Source organism: Homo sapiens, chromosome 9, assembly GCF_000001405.40.
Source record: "Homo sapiens chromosome 9, GRCh38.p14 Primary Assembly".
Lineage (NCBI taxonomy): Eukaryota > Metazoa > Chordata > Mammalia > Primates > Hominidae > Homo > Homo sapiens.
Window position 1 is genome coordinate 115,887,039 of NC_000009.12, and position 16,884 is coordinate 115,903,922.

Sequence of the window (16,884 nt, forward strand, 5' to 3'; positions counted from 1 at the left end):
AATCCCTTTCTTTTTTGAATATTGACACAGCTGAGACTCAGCGAGAGAATGGTGTTTGCACCCAACCCAGAATGGACCAAAGTGCTAGATTTCCTTTGCAAAGAAACTCGTCTTTGCAGTAAATGTTTGTCTCTTTTTTTTGTTGCTGATTGCACTTGTGAGATCATCAGGCTCTGGGTGTGAATGCAGCTTAATGGCCTCAACCTTTGTGTCTTTGCTGACTGAGCACTGCTCTTGGCTGTTCAAGGCATAGGTGGAGGGAGGAATAATTCCCCAGCTAATTCAGAGATCCCTTTGTTTTCCCTGTAATTAGTGTAGAACCCACTTCTTGGCCACACATTTGTAGACCATGCTACTGGTTACAGAGCAAAGTCATATCCATCATTTTACTTCCTCCTCATCATTGTCCTGTGAGGCAGGTGAGAATACCACCATTTATACCTAAGGAGACCGCAACTTTCAGATTGCAAGAGATAGGTCATATACCATGCAGGAAAAACCAGGAAAAGGGGCAGAGGCTGAATTTGATCTCAGGGCTTTTGACCTCAAAGCCCTTGGTTAAATTTTTACACTTTATGGCTGCCTCCAAAACATTCACCTTTGTGTATAATGTGTAACCATCTGCAAAGCCCCTGACACGTAATTCTAGTTCAGTTATGCCTCACAACAGCCATATGGGTTGATGTGCCTATTTTACAACCAAGGTGCATTAGCTTTCCTTGAATTTCTTCACTTTGTGTTTGGGAGAAATAGGACAATTATATAAAGTTGAAGAATGGAATTTTTTGTGTGTGTGCATATATGTATGTATGTGTGTTTAATCAGCACAAATCTCCTTCCTGTGTTCTAGAAAACATAGGGGGCAAAATTAGAAGCAACTCAATTTCCTCTGCTTCTCTTCAGTCCAGGACAGTGAAAATTTTCATTCACAAAAAATGTACCCCAAACCATATAAGATACAAAATGTTTAAACAAAACTTACATTATTTTCAATATAATCCTCTCCCATGAGTAAAAACTGGAATTATGTGGATTTTAAAGATGCTAAATATGTTAATCAAAGTTTGATTCTCTCAGTTTACAATAACTTATGCTTGCTGTTAATTTACAATTGACCAAAAGATTTTGAATATAATGTATTTAATTCTTCCAGGAATCACACAAGGTAGATATTATCATTTCCACTTTACAGATGCAGAAAGCAAGGCGTAGAGATGATCACAAATTTCCCAACCATTGAGTGACAGAGCTCAGTCATGCAGAACTCAGGTTTGCATGACTCAAATTAGGCACAAGTTCTTGGAATTTTCCATAAGGGATAACTGCATCTTTTGCACCTTCACAACTAGAAACGACTCAGCGACTTTTTCTATGAGCAAATGTCGAGGTCTTAACTGCTTTAGTTCGAGGAAGTTCCTTTTTTCTTTTCAAAAATCAGGTTGCTGGAGATGGTACACAAAATAAGAGAAAGAAGGCCTGATTCATTCTGTCAGCTCAACTTGTAGTCACTTGACATGCGAAAATTACAGATGACAGCTTTTCTATCTGTGATTCTGACACACTAAATCATAAATGTGCCTCTCACGTCTTTGCTGAAACAGCAGGAACAATGAGTGTCCAATTGCTGCACTGGTAAGCAGTCAGGACCAAAATTATTAGAGGTATCAGTGTAAGTAATATTCATCCCACCCAGTACAAACCAGTTTTCAGATTTGGCAGTGAACTTCTGAGAGCCTGGACCTGGGTTGCACCAGACCCTGGAGTTAGAGTGGACTCTTTGAGGAATAACATAAAAATCATCAAAGCATCTCATCCTATAGTTTGATAAGTTCAATAACATTATGTAATTAGAAGAGACCTTAGTCACCTTCTAATTCCTTCATTCTGTGTCTCAGATAAAATTACAGAGGCCCAGGGAGGGAAATGATCTGCCTAATATCCCACAACAGGCCAATTGTGAAGCTGGACATTTGGCTCCTATAGAGACCTTTTCTCTTCCATTACACAGTAGAGATTCACTGAACTCCCATCCTATTTCTGGTCCTTGAGACACTAAAGAAATAACAAAACAAACACATGAACCTGCCCTTCAGGCTGATTAGAAAAACCGATCAGTTAATAGAATAATGATGCATGTAACAATGACTACAATAATTTAAAATAATAACACCAGTCATCATATATTGAATGGAATCTATTATTCTTATAGTGACCCCAAGAGGTAGATGTGTCATTATCTTAAAGAGGTAAAGGGAAATAGGATTGTGGAGGTTAAGTTTCAAACCAAAGTTATGGTCATCAAGTAATGGAGCTGGGACTATGTGTACAACTGGTGCTTTTGGTAATCAGAGAAGGGGAAACACCCATAGCATCCTAGGAAGAAGGAGAAAGTGATGCCTGCACTGGGTTTTCAAGGAAAAATAGAAATTAGACAGGTAAAGAAGGAAAAAGAATGGTAGAGACTGAGGAAGAGCATATACAAAGTTAGAAACGCTTGTGTCACATCAAGCAACTGGAGGAAATTTATTTTTATTGGAATATTGGATTTGTGTGGGAGAACAATGACGGCTGAGGATTGGTTGGCAAATTTGGGAATCTCAGATTATGAAGGGTCTTGGTAAACACTTCTAAAGAGCTTAAATTTTATTTTAATGCAATTTATTAAGGGCAATGGGGTGTTTTAAGCAAACGAGACAGCATGACCAGATTTCCATCTTAGATTGATATTTTTAATTGACAAGTAGAGGTAGGGCGGTCTGAAGAGCTTAGGAAAGAGTCAGGTAACCCACTGCAGGAGAATTTACATCAACAAGGATGTGCTGATGAGTACACCCCATGGATAGGAATTAAGAGTCAAACCGTAACTGTGTACACCTGGCATAATGTGTCTGCATGCATTCACACTCATTTCATGTATATATATACATATTGTGTGTATTATGATGTCATAATACATATGACATACAAATAGATTATATACATATAGATGTACAGGCATACGGTATAGATCGATTACAATTATTCCAGTAATGCATAGTCACTCTTCTTACAACAAAAATGAAAAAGGATACTTTCTAAACACTTTAATCCAACTCACAAAGCTTTTTGTGTCTGTACCTGTTCACCAATCTGGACTCATTCTTCACCAACCTACCCCCAGTCTACCCTCTAGGAACACTGTGCTTCATTTTTTACCCCTTCTAAGAAGCTATACTCTCTTTTATTTCTCCTCCCCTCATTATTTCCCACTCAACATTCAGATCTCAATGTAGATGTCACTTTCTCTAGGAAGCAAGTCTGCCCTAACTGTCTATATTAACTTTGGGGTCCCTGCTATATGATTTCAAAGTACCCTCTGCATTTATCCATTATAGCACCTATTGTACTCTATGATAAAGCCTGTTCTCAGCATTGTCCATGTCCTTATTTTTAGCTCCATGATTATAGCTATCTTTTGTCTTCTTTATTTCTTAATTCTTATTGCCTATGCCTAAACAGAGGGTAAGAAATGAGGTTTATATGGCCAATAGTAGGCAACCAGTAAATATTTGTTTATATTTACTTTAAATAAAGAAGCAAACTAATGAATAAGTAAATAAGGAAATGAATGGAGTACAGATACACCAGCCAATAAAACTAAAGTATTAGAGTCCTCACAGACTCCATTACATCTCACTATTGGCTGGTATTTGAAGTGATTCTGAAATTTCTACCTTCTTCCCTATGCTAACCTGCCACTGGGTTTCTAAGGATCCATTCTATGGCAAAAAACTCTCACTCGAAAATTTTTAGGAAGTCCTTGAAAGAGATGAACCTGCCTTTAGTCACCTGGAAATACTGGGTTGAGCTTTACACACTGGGCTCTGACAGGCACAGGCAAGAGGAAGCTTTTAAAAGTTTATTTATTTATTTTTTTACTTTATTAGCACTTTTCTTGGTTTTAATAGGCTTCAATCACTTTCAAAGAGTAGAATCATTGCTACTGCATCAGTCACGCAGTGGAGATCTTCACAAGTGATGACCAGATAGCAATTATTATTTGAATACTTGATATTTTGGTAATTTTCAAAAGTTAAAATTCCTCCAGAGTGTCTAACCAATTTTTTAAGTTATTCTATTGTATTACATTATATTCTATTCTATCCTAGACTCCCTGATTCTATTCTATCCTATTCTCTTCTAGTTTATCCATTTCCAATCTATTCTATTCTTTTTCATTTACATTTTCCATGCAATGACTAACACTAGGTATTAGCAAAAGTTGTGGTGGTAGCAAAAAATAAATAATCCTTGACCTCAATACTTCAGTAAAAGTATTAATTTACAAAAATATTTCAAATATATGTTGATAAGTGCTCTATTCAACCTTGTGCAAAGTTCAGATATACATACACAGAAGAATCCATTTATTTTTATAACATCAAAGTTATTTTTTTGGAGAAGATAATAAAAGAAACATTGTTTATAAGGGTGAGTAGGAGTTTGTTAAAAAAAGACTACAGAAGGTCATATTCTAGTCAGTGAGAACAGAATATTGAAAGTGATAGACAGGTGAAACACAATGATATGCTCAAAAATCTATAACTAATGACATTTTGTTAGTATACAAAGTGCAAGGTGCTTCTTCCTTCAGAACGATTTGGCAGCCATGTCCAGCTTCTTCCAAATTCATCAGTCAACCACATTCAAAATAATAATAGTATAATACCATATACAATGGCATGTACTTAGGTGACTTAACAAATTCAAATTCAAAGTGAAAGTGATGTCTTAGTACTTCAAATTTCCATGCATTTGGATCTTATATTTTTAATTTTAATCTAAATCCTTTAAGTACAGTGACTGCATCTTTAGTCATCTTCACAGCCATCAGATCAATATACACACTGATCTCAAACTGTGTGTAGGATTTTTTTTGCTATGTAAAAATCTACATGTATAAGATAATGGAGGATACTGTTGTAATAGTATGTTTAGCAACATAGACCATATAATTTATTTATTCAACTAGTAACAATCACTTAGTATGATCTAGCACATTTTAATCTAAAACACGTGTGCCAGACCACAATGACACATTGATATATGTTTGCAGAGGAATGGCTAAATGGTTGACAATGAACTTAGGAAACATTCCTGGGTTCTCTACTAATCCAAAGACAGCACTATTAAGCAGATGGAGTATCTAATTACAAGAAAAAAAAAACAAAAAAAAAACGAGGACACTTATCTTAACTAGGTCTCCTGCCATTAAAAAACTGAAACATCACATGTATAGTAAACAACTGTTTTCAGATATTGAGCAACAGGTAAAGCATAATGGTGATCACTAAGAAATGGGAAACAAATGTAGTGAATCCTCAAATCAACAGGCTTACAACCAGGGAATACATTTTGGCCCACAGGGCAGGAAGTATTACAATATGGAGCTGAAGGAATAGAACCTATAGTTCCAAACTGCTGGTCCAAGCTCTAGAGAAAGAGTTGTATGGAAATGTGGAAATGTCCATAACAGAAATTTGGATCTCCCTTTGAGTATTTGGCTGAATACTTAGTTGAACCTACTATATAGCCTGCAAGTTTTGGCAAGAAATAAAATAAAGCAATAAGAAGACAACTACTAGGGGGATATTAGCTAAACATCTATGAGCTATGAGATTCTTAAGTTTGTACAAAGCAAGCCAGAATGGAGAGGTATTATCCATCTTAGATGAAATTCTAAACAGCTTTCACCTTAGGAATAGGGCTAATCAATTCACAGAGTATAGGCTAATCCACATGAACCTAAGAACACTTACAAAAAAGCCTCAGATGAAGAAAGAGACTTACATAAAAGTCTCAGAAGAAATTAACTGCCTGGCAAAACAAACATCAACTATTTAAGTAAAGGCAATAAAATCCAGACACTCAGTAATGAAGTATCCACATGTTCATGTACATAATTCAAAATTACTAGACTGGGAAAGAAGCAGAAAATTTTGACTGACAATCAATAGAAACATTAGTCAACAAAAAATGCCCACAAATAATACAACTAATGGAATTACCACACAAGGACTTTAAATCAGTTACTATAAATATATACAAGGACTTAAAGGAAAATGTGAACATAACTAGAAAACAGATAGGGATCTCAATGTAGAAGTAAAAATCATATTTAAAAAAACAAAATAAATTATAGAGTAATAAGTCCAATATCTGAAATAAAGGCTATTAACTGAATGTATTTAACAGCAGACTGGATGCTGCAGAAAACATGATAAGCAGCCTTGAATGCATAGCCATAGAAGTTATATCGATAATCATTCTAATTAAAAAGCAGAGATTAAAATGACTTTAAGTTATGGATATACCTTCAATGATCTGAGGGATAATAGCAAGCAGTCTAATATATGTGTAATTGGAGTTTTAGAAAGAGGGAAGAAAGAGATCAAGAAGAGAATATATTTCTTTAAATACTGGCTAAAAATTCCCTAGTTTAATAAAAAAATGAATAAACCCATGTATTCAAGAATCTCAATAAAATTAAGAAAGACTAACACAAAGAAAACTACATTTAAGCACGTCGTGTTCACACTGATGAAAACTCAAGACAAAGAGAAAATCTTAAAAGCAGTCATCAGGAATAGTGATAACAATTATCAGTAACTTTTCATTAGAAACAGGCCAAACATTATCTGGAAGATAAAAGAACAACATCTTCAAAATTCTAAAGTAACATGGAATTCTGCATCCAACAATAAAATATTTTAAATAAAAAATATTCCTTATGAATGAAAAAGTCAAACACTAAAACAATTTGTCACCAGCAAACATGTTAAAATAATATATAAGAAGGAAGTTAAAGGAAGTTTTTCAGGCTAAAGGAAAGTGATGCTAGGTGGGAAACAATCTATACAAATGAACCACACTAGAAATGAAACTTTAAAATATGTGTTTTCTCATTCCATAATTCCTGTAAAGATAATTGGCTGTTCAGTGCAAAAAGCAATAACAATCTATGGTTGGATTTATAACATATGAAGAAGTAAAAAGTATGTAAACCAATTATTGCAGGCAATGTGTTTTAAGTTAAAAGACACATACAGGCTACAAGTATAAGAATAAAAAATATTTATAAAGCAGTCATTGATTATAAGAAAACTGGAATGCTAGGAGTGCTAGGTTAATATCAGTCAAAATAAACATCATAAAAATGAATATTTCCGGAGAAAAATAGAGACATTTTTTAATAATAAAGATGGTAAAGTCAATTCACTGGGAAGACTGAATAATCCTAAATGTGCTTGAACATAATAAGAGTTTCAAAATGAATAAGAACTAATAGAAATAAATGGAGAAATATACAGATTTGTTGAAAATTTTAAAATTCTGCTTTTAATAATTAATATAATGCATAGAAAATCAGTGAGAATGTAGATGAGACAAACAACTCTCATATGAACTTGTTCTAATTGGAATTTATGGAACACTCCACTCAGCGGGAAACACATTATTTTCATGTATACATGGACTGTTCACCAAAATAAACCGTTTACTGGGCAATAATAAAAGGGTCAATACATTTATTGGGGAAGAGTAAAAGCAAAGTATTGAGATCTGATTTCATTTTTTTACATAAATTGATTATAGCTGCATTGTCATTAAAGTATCCAAATTAATATTATTACTGTTCAAGTTTGTTGTTCTATTAACTCTTTGTGTGACTTGGCAAGTTTTTTTCGTATCCCTGAACCTCAGTTTTCTGAAGCATCAATGTTTGGTTTTAACTAGACAATGTTTCCTTAAATTAATTTCTACTATCATTTATGAAAAGAGCACCCATCACAATGTTTTGTATATGGAAGGGCACCTCAACAAATATTTGTAAAAAATGTTGAATAAATTAATAAAAGAGAGACTTTGACAGTACTCTGCTGCATTTCATCCTTTACATTTCTATCTTTAAAATATGCCTTCTTTCCAAAGTGCAATATACTAAGTCCAATAGGATAAGGAATTGGAATTTCTTATCCTTACTTAAATACTTGCCCTTTCCTAATGTATTCTAGATATGGAAATAGAGTACAATTTTCAGTCATCTGTTTATTGAAGTAATAGTATGATATCATTATGTAAATGACAGTATTTATTTGCTGGACTAGTACATAAAAACATGCTGGTTTTTCTGCTATACAAAATGTTATTAATGTCTGTGAAATATAAAATGGCAATAATGGAATTAATGCAAAAAATTCAGATTATTACTATCTTTGGCCCCTATCTATGTATAATATCTTGCAAAGTCCATTTTGCTGTTGAAAGTGTGAATTCTGGGCTGGGTATGGTGGCTCATGTGCATAATCCCAGCACTTTGGGAGGCCAAGGTGGGAGGTCACCTGAGGTCAGGAGTTTGAGCCTAGCCTGGCCAACATGGTGAAACCCCGTCTCTACTAAAAATACAAAAATTAGCCTGGCATAGTGGCCGGCGCTTGTAATCCCAGCTACTTGGGAGGCTGAAACAGGAGAATCGCTTGAATTCAGGAGACAGAGGTTGCAGAGAGCCTAGATCATGCAATTGCACTCCAGCCTGGGCAACAAGAGTGAAAAAAAAAAAAAAAAGAAAGAGAGAGAGAGAGAGAAAGAGAAAGAGAGAAAGAAAGGGAGAAAGGGAGAAAAAAGAAAATATGAATTCCACAGGATTGCTACTTAAAGCGTAAATAACAGTGCGTCAATTGTTTTAAGAATGAAAGAAAGTATGCTATGATTTTGCAACTATTTTTGACTTAATTTTAGGATTAGGAATATTTAATTCAATATTCTTCGAAGTGTACTTTGTAAATCATAGTCACACAGGCTATCAGTGTTATGAAGAGAGTAGAGAAGGAATGAATCCCAGTCTCAAATAAGTTTTGAAAATATTGACCTAAATAAATTCACGGACTTAATAGATCTTTTAATATATTAATGTATATTATAAATCTCTAAAATGTGGAAGGGAGATCATTGTATAAAGGGATCCCAAAACTTTTCACTGTGTATATTAGAGTCCTGTGGCTGTAGTAACAAAGTAACACAAACTTGGTATTTTAAAACAACAGAAATGTATTCTTTTATAGTTCTAATGGCTGGAAGTCCAAAGCTAACATATCAGAAGAGCCACAGTTTTAACAGAATAGCCTCAAAAAAAGTCTTCTGCTAATCAATAAGTGTGCTTTAAAAAATGCTAAGCATTCAGTAAACCATTTCAAAAAATATACAATGAATAAAATGTATCTTTTCTTTCACTAATTTAGCACATTTAGTAATTGGGCAAATGTTTTTAAGAATGTCATATTTTTCAAGAACTGATATATAAAAGTTGATAAGTAAGACATGGTCCTTGCCTTTATGAAGCGTAGATGTGCTTAGGAAAATAGATGTAAACATAAAAAGTCATCTTCAGTGTAATAAGATAGTCTGTTAGAAATATAAGGCAAGAAAACGAAATATGAAAAAAATCATGGAGATAACAGGTTAACAAAATAAAACAGCTAAAATAAAGTTCTTATGGCAAATAAATGAAAGCATGGAATCAATGAAGAGTTAAAGAATCAAGTGGAAATTCAGACTAATGTATATGGAAGATATTGGAAAGAAACATATTGATTAATGTTCTTTTAACTTAAGGAATGCAAAGGAGTAAAACAGAGTTGCCAATTTTTATATAATAGGAATATTGGAAAGAAGTTAGTGGGGGATGCATAAAAAGCATACTTGAAGAAATAACAATTGAGACTGTCCTAAAATAAAAAGAAGCAAAATTGCAGATAGAAAGGTCTCAGAGTGCTAAATCATGTGAATAAAGAAATCAAAACAAACAAGAATCAAAGAAGTAAACAAAAAAAGACTGTACAGTAAAATTAAAAACTTCAGTAAAGGAGAAAATTTTATCCAGTTCTAGAGAAAAAAAGACCTGATCTATAGAGGAAGAGGAAATCAGGTAGAAACCAACATTGTGTATGAAGCACTAGATGCAAGAGGATAGTGGAGAAATATTTCCAAAGTGCTAAAAAAAGAAGTATGTGTATAATCAACTCTAAATGAAAAAGCCAAGTAATCATAGTCTTAGGCTTAAAAAGTCCCAAAAGTTTTAATACAAAAATACCATTTTTGCAGACATTTTTATAAAAAATATTACAAGTAGACTATTAAATTCAGGAGAATTATAGAAGATCTTGCTAACAAAGTTAATTAATTACCTTAAGAAAAGTTACTGTCTTAATCAATGATCTCTCACAAGATAAAAAAAAAAGTGAGAAAAGAGAAATGTATAGGAATTCAAATTAAAACTCAGTATGATACTATGAGAGGGTGAAGGAGAAGAGGACAAGTAAGAAGAGAATGGGCTAAAGTGTTTTTGTTGATCATGGAAGACATACACATTGAAAGTCTTAAAAATTGATGAGAGAATGACAAAACAATATAAAATTCTTAATAAATTTTCTCTTATCATCAGAAACAATTCAATATAATTTTTCTAAACTGCACAATAAAATTTACTGCATTAATTGGAGGCAGGAAGGAAGATGAAAAGGGAAATAAGCATGGCAAATACAACTATGAAATAAAGTTACAGAAATAAGTACAAATATAATCATGATACATTAAATGTTCATGGTTTAAATTTACTGTTCAAGACTCAGAGATTCTTAAATTGTACTTTTTAATGCCAAAATCCACTAATTTGTTATCTTTAAGAGAAAAATTAAAAACACAGGTATGGTTTACACAAAAATAATAGAAACATATATATGAGGAAGATATGTACCACAGGTGTCTGAGATAGCAATTTTTATAACATATTAATATAATTTTAAGTAAAGTGAGAAAAATAGTAAAATAACAACATAGATAATAGAACAATAGAACAAAAAAAGAAACAATATTCATAAACATATATGCACATAAAGAAATACACACAGAATTAATAAAACAACACTATAAGAATATCAGAGAGAAATAAATGTGGCAATAACTTACAGGGTGAGATTTTTACATGTTCCTCTAACAGATCAAGTAGAGTTTCAAAATAAGCAAAAGTATTTTTAAAAATTACAAAAATATGATTAGTAGGTACTATCTAATAGATACATACAGACCCAACAAAGAATATACATTTTTTAAGGACATATAAAACAGTGACAAATATTAACATGTAAGAGATTACATAGTGCTATTAAATAATAAAAAGTAGGGAATGGGAATATAAAGTGTGGGAGTTGAAATTTCAAAAAGAGAATAAAAAGTTTGGGGTTGCAATTTTTTAAAGGGCTACAGTGAAGTCTTCATTTATAAATTGACATTTGAATAAAGACTTGAAGGAGAGGGAGTGACCCATGTGAATGTCTGGGGGAAGAATATTGCAGGCAGAGATAACATATACTATTTTATATTTAGCTCATACTTACAATTGTGCCTTATTGTATATGGGGTGAGTGAGCTGATACGGTTAGGCTTTGTGTCCTGACCCATATCTCATCTTGAATTGTAATCCTCATGATACCCATAGGTCAAGGGAGAGACAAAGTGAAGGTAATTGAATGGGGGGCAGTTTCCTTCATGCTGTTCTCATGATAATGAGTTCTCACAAGATCTGATGGTTTTATAAGGAGCTCTTTCCACTTCCCTCCACAGGTCTCTTTCCTGCCACCTGTGAGGAAGGCGACTTGCTTCCCCTTCACTTTCCACCACAATTGTAAGTTTCCTGAGACCTCCCAAGCCATGCTGAACTGTGAGTCAGTTAAACCTCTTTCCTTTATAAATTACCTAGTCTCAGGCAGTTCTTTATAGCAGTATGAAAATGGACTAATACAGGAGTGAAATGGGAACCCACTCCCTGCCCTACAGGTGGGAGCCTGAACTGGTGTGGCCAATTTCAAGGGCAAATCTTGGTAATACTAAGTGAAATTGCATGTGTATATGGCCATGGATGTAGGAATCCTACTCTTGGGTATCTACTCCAGAGAAAGCCACGCACAAGTCTATCAAGAGACATGCATGACATATTTATTCATAAGATACGTGTGGTAGTAAGGAAGTAGATTAATCTAAATGTCTATTACCAAAAGGTTGGGTAAATTAAAAAGAAGAGGGTGATCAATACAAAGCAGAATTATAGTCAGAAGACAAAAACTAGATGCACTTGGAAGAATAAGGTTAAATGTTAAAAACACAGTATTTATTGAATAAATTAAGAAATAAATAACAAATGTATAATTTTATTTGTGAAAATTAAAAATGTATATTTATATAAAACAACAAAATATGTGTTAAGCTTGACTGTATATCTAAGAAACATCAAATATGCTAGTCTGGATGTTTGGAGGAACAAAGGGGAAAAGGGGAGGGAGAGAAAATGAATAGAAGATAAAATACTAAGTAAAATAAAACAAGTATGAGGCCTTGAAAGAATCGGGATAATTACCATGAAACAGAGTAAGATTGACTCAATTATATGCTTCATCTAAGGTTGAAAACAAAAACACAAACAACAAAACAGTTGAATATAAAATTATGCAGGTAGTATATAAAGATGAAGAATAAAAAGTTCAGACTAAAAACTAGAAAGAGACATATAGATCATATTTGTGTGTGTGTATGTGTGAGTGTGTGTGTGTGTGAGTGTGTACATTCACACTTACACATACATTTCCGGTTGGTGCTATATAGGTGTTTTATACTGTTTTTAGAACTTTATTTATTTTGTATATTACCACATTGAAGCTCTTTTCTTACAATCAGAGACAAGGAAAAAAGGAAAGAAAAAGTGCCTAAAGGCATCTATATTTCATTATGACATTTTCCTTTTTAATGTCATAACATATAAAAATGTAAAGTGAATTAAAAAGATATCAAGCAAAGAAAAAAGCTGATGAAATTATTAAACCAAATAGTCAAGAAAAGGCAAAGGCCTAACTTGTTTACATGCATACCTCCTGATTATAAGACCAATACACAGGCAAGCTTGACTGCCTCTTAAAGCTAGTTTTTGCTGCATTATTAACTGTTTCTCTAGCACATAACAAATTCAACATTTTACCCAAGCTCATTAGTTGAAAGACTAAATATGGAGCCTTTGGTTCTCTCCTAAAAGGGCCTCATTACTATGACTAAAGTTTAAAAAGAGTATCATTACTAAGCCTGCAAAAATGGTCATGCCAATAATGAGATGGAAAAATCCAGACATGCGGTGCTTTCTAAAGAAATAATAATTTTTTAAAAGGGTAATTCCCTGATGTCAAGGCTTGGCCATTTTTAACCTCCACAAGCTATTTAAAAGATCAGACTTTTGATCCTAAATCAAGAAATCCAGTTTAGACCCTTGCAATTTTGCTGCCTTGGGTCACTAAAACATAGGCTGTAGCTATCCTGGAATTCCAAGAAATTCACAAGTATAGAGCACTTGGTCCTAAGAGATGTTGGCAGACCTTTGTAAAATAAGGATGAAAGCAACTTCATCCCAATATCTCTTATGGTACCCTTTGGTAGAGACAAAGTCTACCAGGACTGTTCTGGGCTGAAAACTCTAAAAATTATTTCAAACTGATGGTATTTCCTTTTTCTTAATAATACACGTATCACATTTTTTCTCATCTTTCTGTAACAATTTTTCTCCTCTTTCCCCTCCTTCCTCTCCTCCTCCTCTTTTTTCACCTTTTGCTTCTTCCTTCTCTTCATCTCCCTCATCCTTCTCCTCCTTTTCCTGCTCCTCCTCCCTTTTCTTCATCTTCTTTTTATGTCTTCTTACTTGTTTTTATTACTTTCTTCTTCATCAGAAAACTAGCTTCTAACTGACTCAAATATGTTTCAGGAAGTAGTGCTGGTTTTCAACAAAAGAGTTATTATGATGTCACCATTTTCATTATGTTAACAGACATATATTGAATATCAACTATGGCCAATAACTAGGCATACCATTTTCATAGACATAGCTACATCCTCAGATGCATTCTGTCCCCAAGATCCTAATTTTATAAGTGGAAAAACCAATTTGCATTGTGTATTTCACATGGGGTAGATTCTATGTTAAATTCTTTATTTAAATCATTTTATAAAATATTAAGAACACCCTACGTATTATATCTAGTTAGACCATGATACAGATGAAAGAATTGCACTTCAAGAATATACTACATTTCACAGTTCACAGAGTTAGAAAAAGATATATGTATATCAACTGAATCCAGATTCGTCTCATGCCAAAACGAGTACTCTTTCTACTAGTAATTGCATTGCCCCCAAGAGATTGAAGGGAGATAAATAAAGTGGCAGAACTAGGTTTAAGACCAACTTATATCAAGTATAAATGACTTTCTACTTTAGTGCATTGATAGTTCTCTATAATCTTATTTCAGCTTAACATGGAATCATATATTATTTTTGACATCCAGACTTTGAAATTTGTTCTATTTGTTTCTTCAGCTGGGCAATGTAGGAAGGCATGTTATAGTAGATAAATACCTTCCAAGAATATATACTTTGTGAAAAAAAATATTGTCAACATTAATATGAACTCATTATAAAATGATGGCTGGCAATTTTTGTCCCAGTGGCATATGGAGGACAATTCAGTTCAATTCAAGAAACATTTATTGGTTGGGTGCAGTGGTTCACACCTGTAATTCAAGCAGTTTGGGAAGCCAAGGCAGAAAGATTGCTTGAGCCCAGGATTTCAAGATCAGCCTGGGTAACTTTCCCAGACCCTGTGAGCTGTGTTAATGTCACTGCACTCCAGCCTGGGTTACAGAGAGAGACCCTGTCTTAAAAAAGATTATGGAGCATCTGTTATGTGAAAGGCACCATGAGTCTTTCAGGATACAAAAATAAATAAATACATAAAACTATCTCTGATCTCAAAAAAAATGCACTAAAACAGAATCACAATTAAATGTACCCATGCTGAGTTAAAGTTAAGCCCCGGGAGCTTTGCCAGCAAAGTAGAAGGGAGCCTAAATGTGCAAGGTGAGAATGAAGAGATGGCAAGGGTGATTATCTAGGGAAGACGGTTGATGTTGAAACATCAATAACAAGAAAAAGTCAACTGGATGGAGAAGAGAACAGAAAGCTCTCAGAGGAAGTACTGTGAGCAGAGGCCTAGGGGCGAGAAACACGTGGAGAATTTAGAGGATGGTGATTAGATTGGTTCATCTTGAGCTTAGAGGTCTTGTGGAAGACTAGTGTGAAATGATAAGTGGAGGTTTTTCCTGTAAGGCCCTTTAAGTGAGACTGAGGGACACGGGATGAATTATCTGGACTGAGGATGGGGTCATTGTGAATTGGGATCGCTATTGGGAGCCATGAATCAACAGTGTTCTCCTTTCTGTATTGTACATAAGAGAAATCTGCATCCCAGAGAGAGAAAGTGACTTTCTCCAAGTCTCACATCTAGTCAATTGGCAGAGCCATTTATTCAGCCATTCAATAAATATAATAGTTATTAAGTGCTGACGATGATAAGGATACTGCAAGACCCACAGTGTTCTACCTTCTAGATTTAGCTACCATTGAGCATTTAAAAATAACTACCATGTATTGAGCTTTTACAATGTCCCAGAAATAGTAATGAGCTGTTTAAGTGAATTATCTTAATTTTAATAGAATTATCTTAATACGTAATAGAATTCTTTAATAGAATTATCCTAATTTTAATATGAAAATTATCTCACATTCCCTACTTACCACTAGATTCTAAACTTGTAAGAATGGGCAACCTGTCTTATCTCATTTCACTGATGTATTTTCAGAGCCTAGAACTGTTCCTGGCATGTAGTAAGAGCTCAATAAATATTTCCATTAAAAAGGCCTCTATTAATTGGCCACTTTTGTTAAACCCATTTTTTCATTAAGATTAAATAATCCTTCTGACTCTCAGGCCAGGGTTCTTGGCTCTGAGCAAATCTTTCCTCTCCTCAGCACCCATCCCATCTCTCTTCACTCTCTGGGAAGCCAGATAAACAACTGCAAATATAATCTCATTTTCAAAGAGCTTGATCTTTCCTCCCAAGGCCCTGACATAATCCCCCAGATGTGCAGGAAGGCAAATATGCTTCCCAGAAGCCTCTTCTAAGCAGGAGGCAATAGTTCCATGGTATGGCTTGCAGGTGGTACCCATTCTAACATCAGGGAGACAGAACTTGGAGGGAAAGTTTCAGCTTGGGACAGGATGGGAGAGCCCTGTGGGGGAAGATTCCCAGGGAACTGTGGAAAAAAACACTGCAGATGAATCTGAGGGTGGTTACAAGGACCCACCTCCAGAGGCTGCGGACCTGATGTAGAGACAGAGATGTCATCAACCCTTCCAGAGTGAATGCTGTGTGACTGTAACTTTGTGCACATGCTACTCTTTAAGCCCTCTGTAAGATTCATCTGTGACCCATGGCTGCTTACAGAATTCCAACCCACAATTGGTACCACTTGATCTCCCCAACTCCACCCCTTACTGCATCCCACATATGCCCAGCCCACCCTCACAATCCTCTCCACCAATCCTTTGACTTTTCTTTGAATAGTATGTTTAAAATACTAAAAATGCATTTGGAATCTATGTAGTTATATGATCTCAAAGTTGGAAAGAAGCTAAAAGGTCGCTGAGCCCAATGTCCCATTTAGTGCAGAAAAAAAGCCCTTTGAAGTGGCTTAAATCCTGGATGGTTAAAATGATGTGAACAAAATCAATGTTTATTAAGGAAATGTTTAGTTTTTTCTGATACATGGAATAAGTACACCTCAGAGCCAAGATGGAAAAAGAGGGAATCTTTGGTAAACAAAGATTGACTGAAACAGCAAGGTTTTTTTTAATTTAACTGTGCATTAAGCTGGTCATTGAGTGAAAAATTTACAAAGCAATGCACAAGACTTCATAAG

General features: G+C 34.3%; 1 long non-coding RNA gene across 1 annotated transcript in view; it reads right to left on the reverse strand.

Moving 5' to 3' along the window:
• Positions 1-1,123: 1,123 nt before the first annotated feature.
• Positions 1,124-16,884, reverse strand: part of LINC00474 (long intergenic non-protein coding RNA 474) — a 37,046-nt gene continuing 21,285 nt past the window's right edge. Inside the window, exon 3 of the long non-coding RNA NR_024032.2 lies at positions 1,124-1,442. This is a non-coding gene — a long non-coding RNA (long intergenic non-protein coding RNA 474). The remainder of the gene's footprint in view (positions 1,443-16,884) is intronic.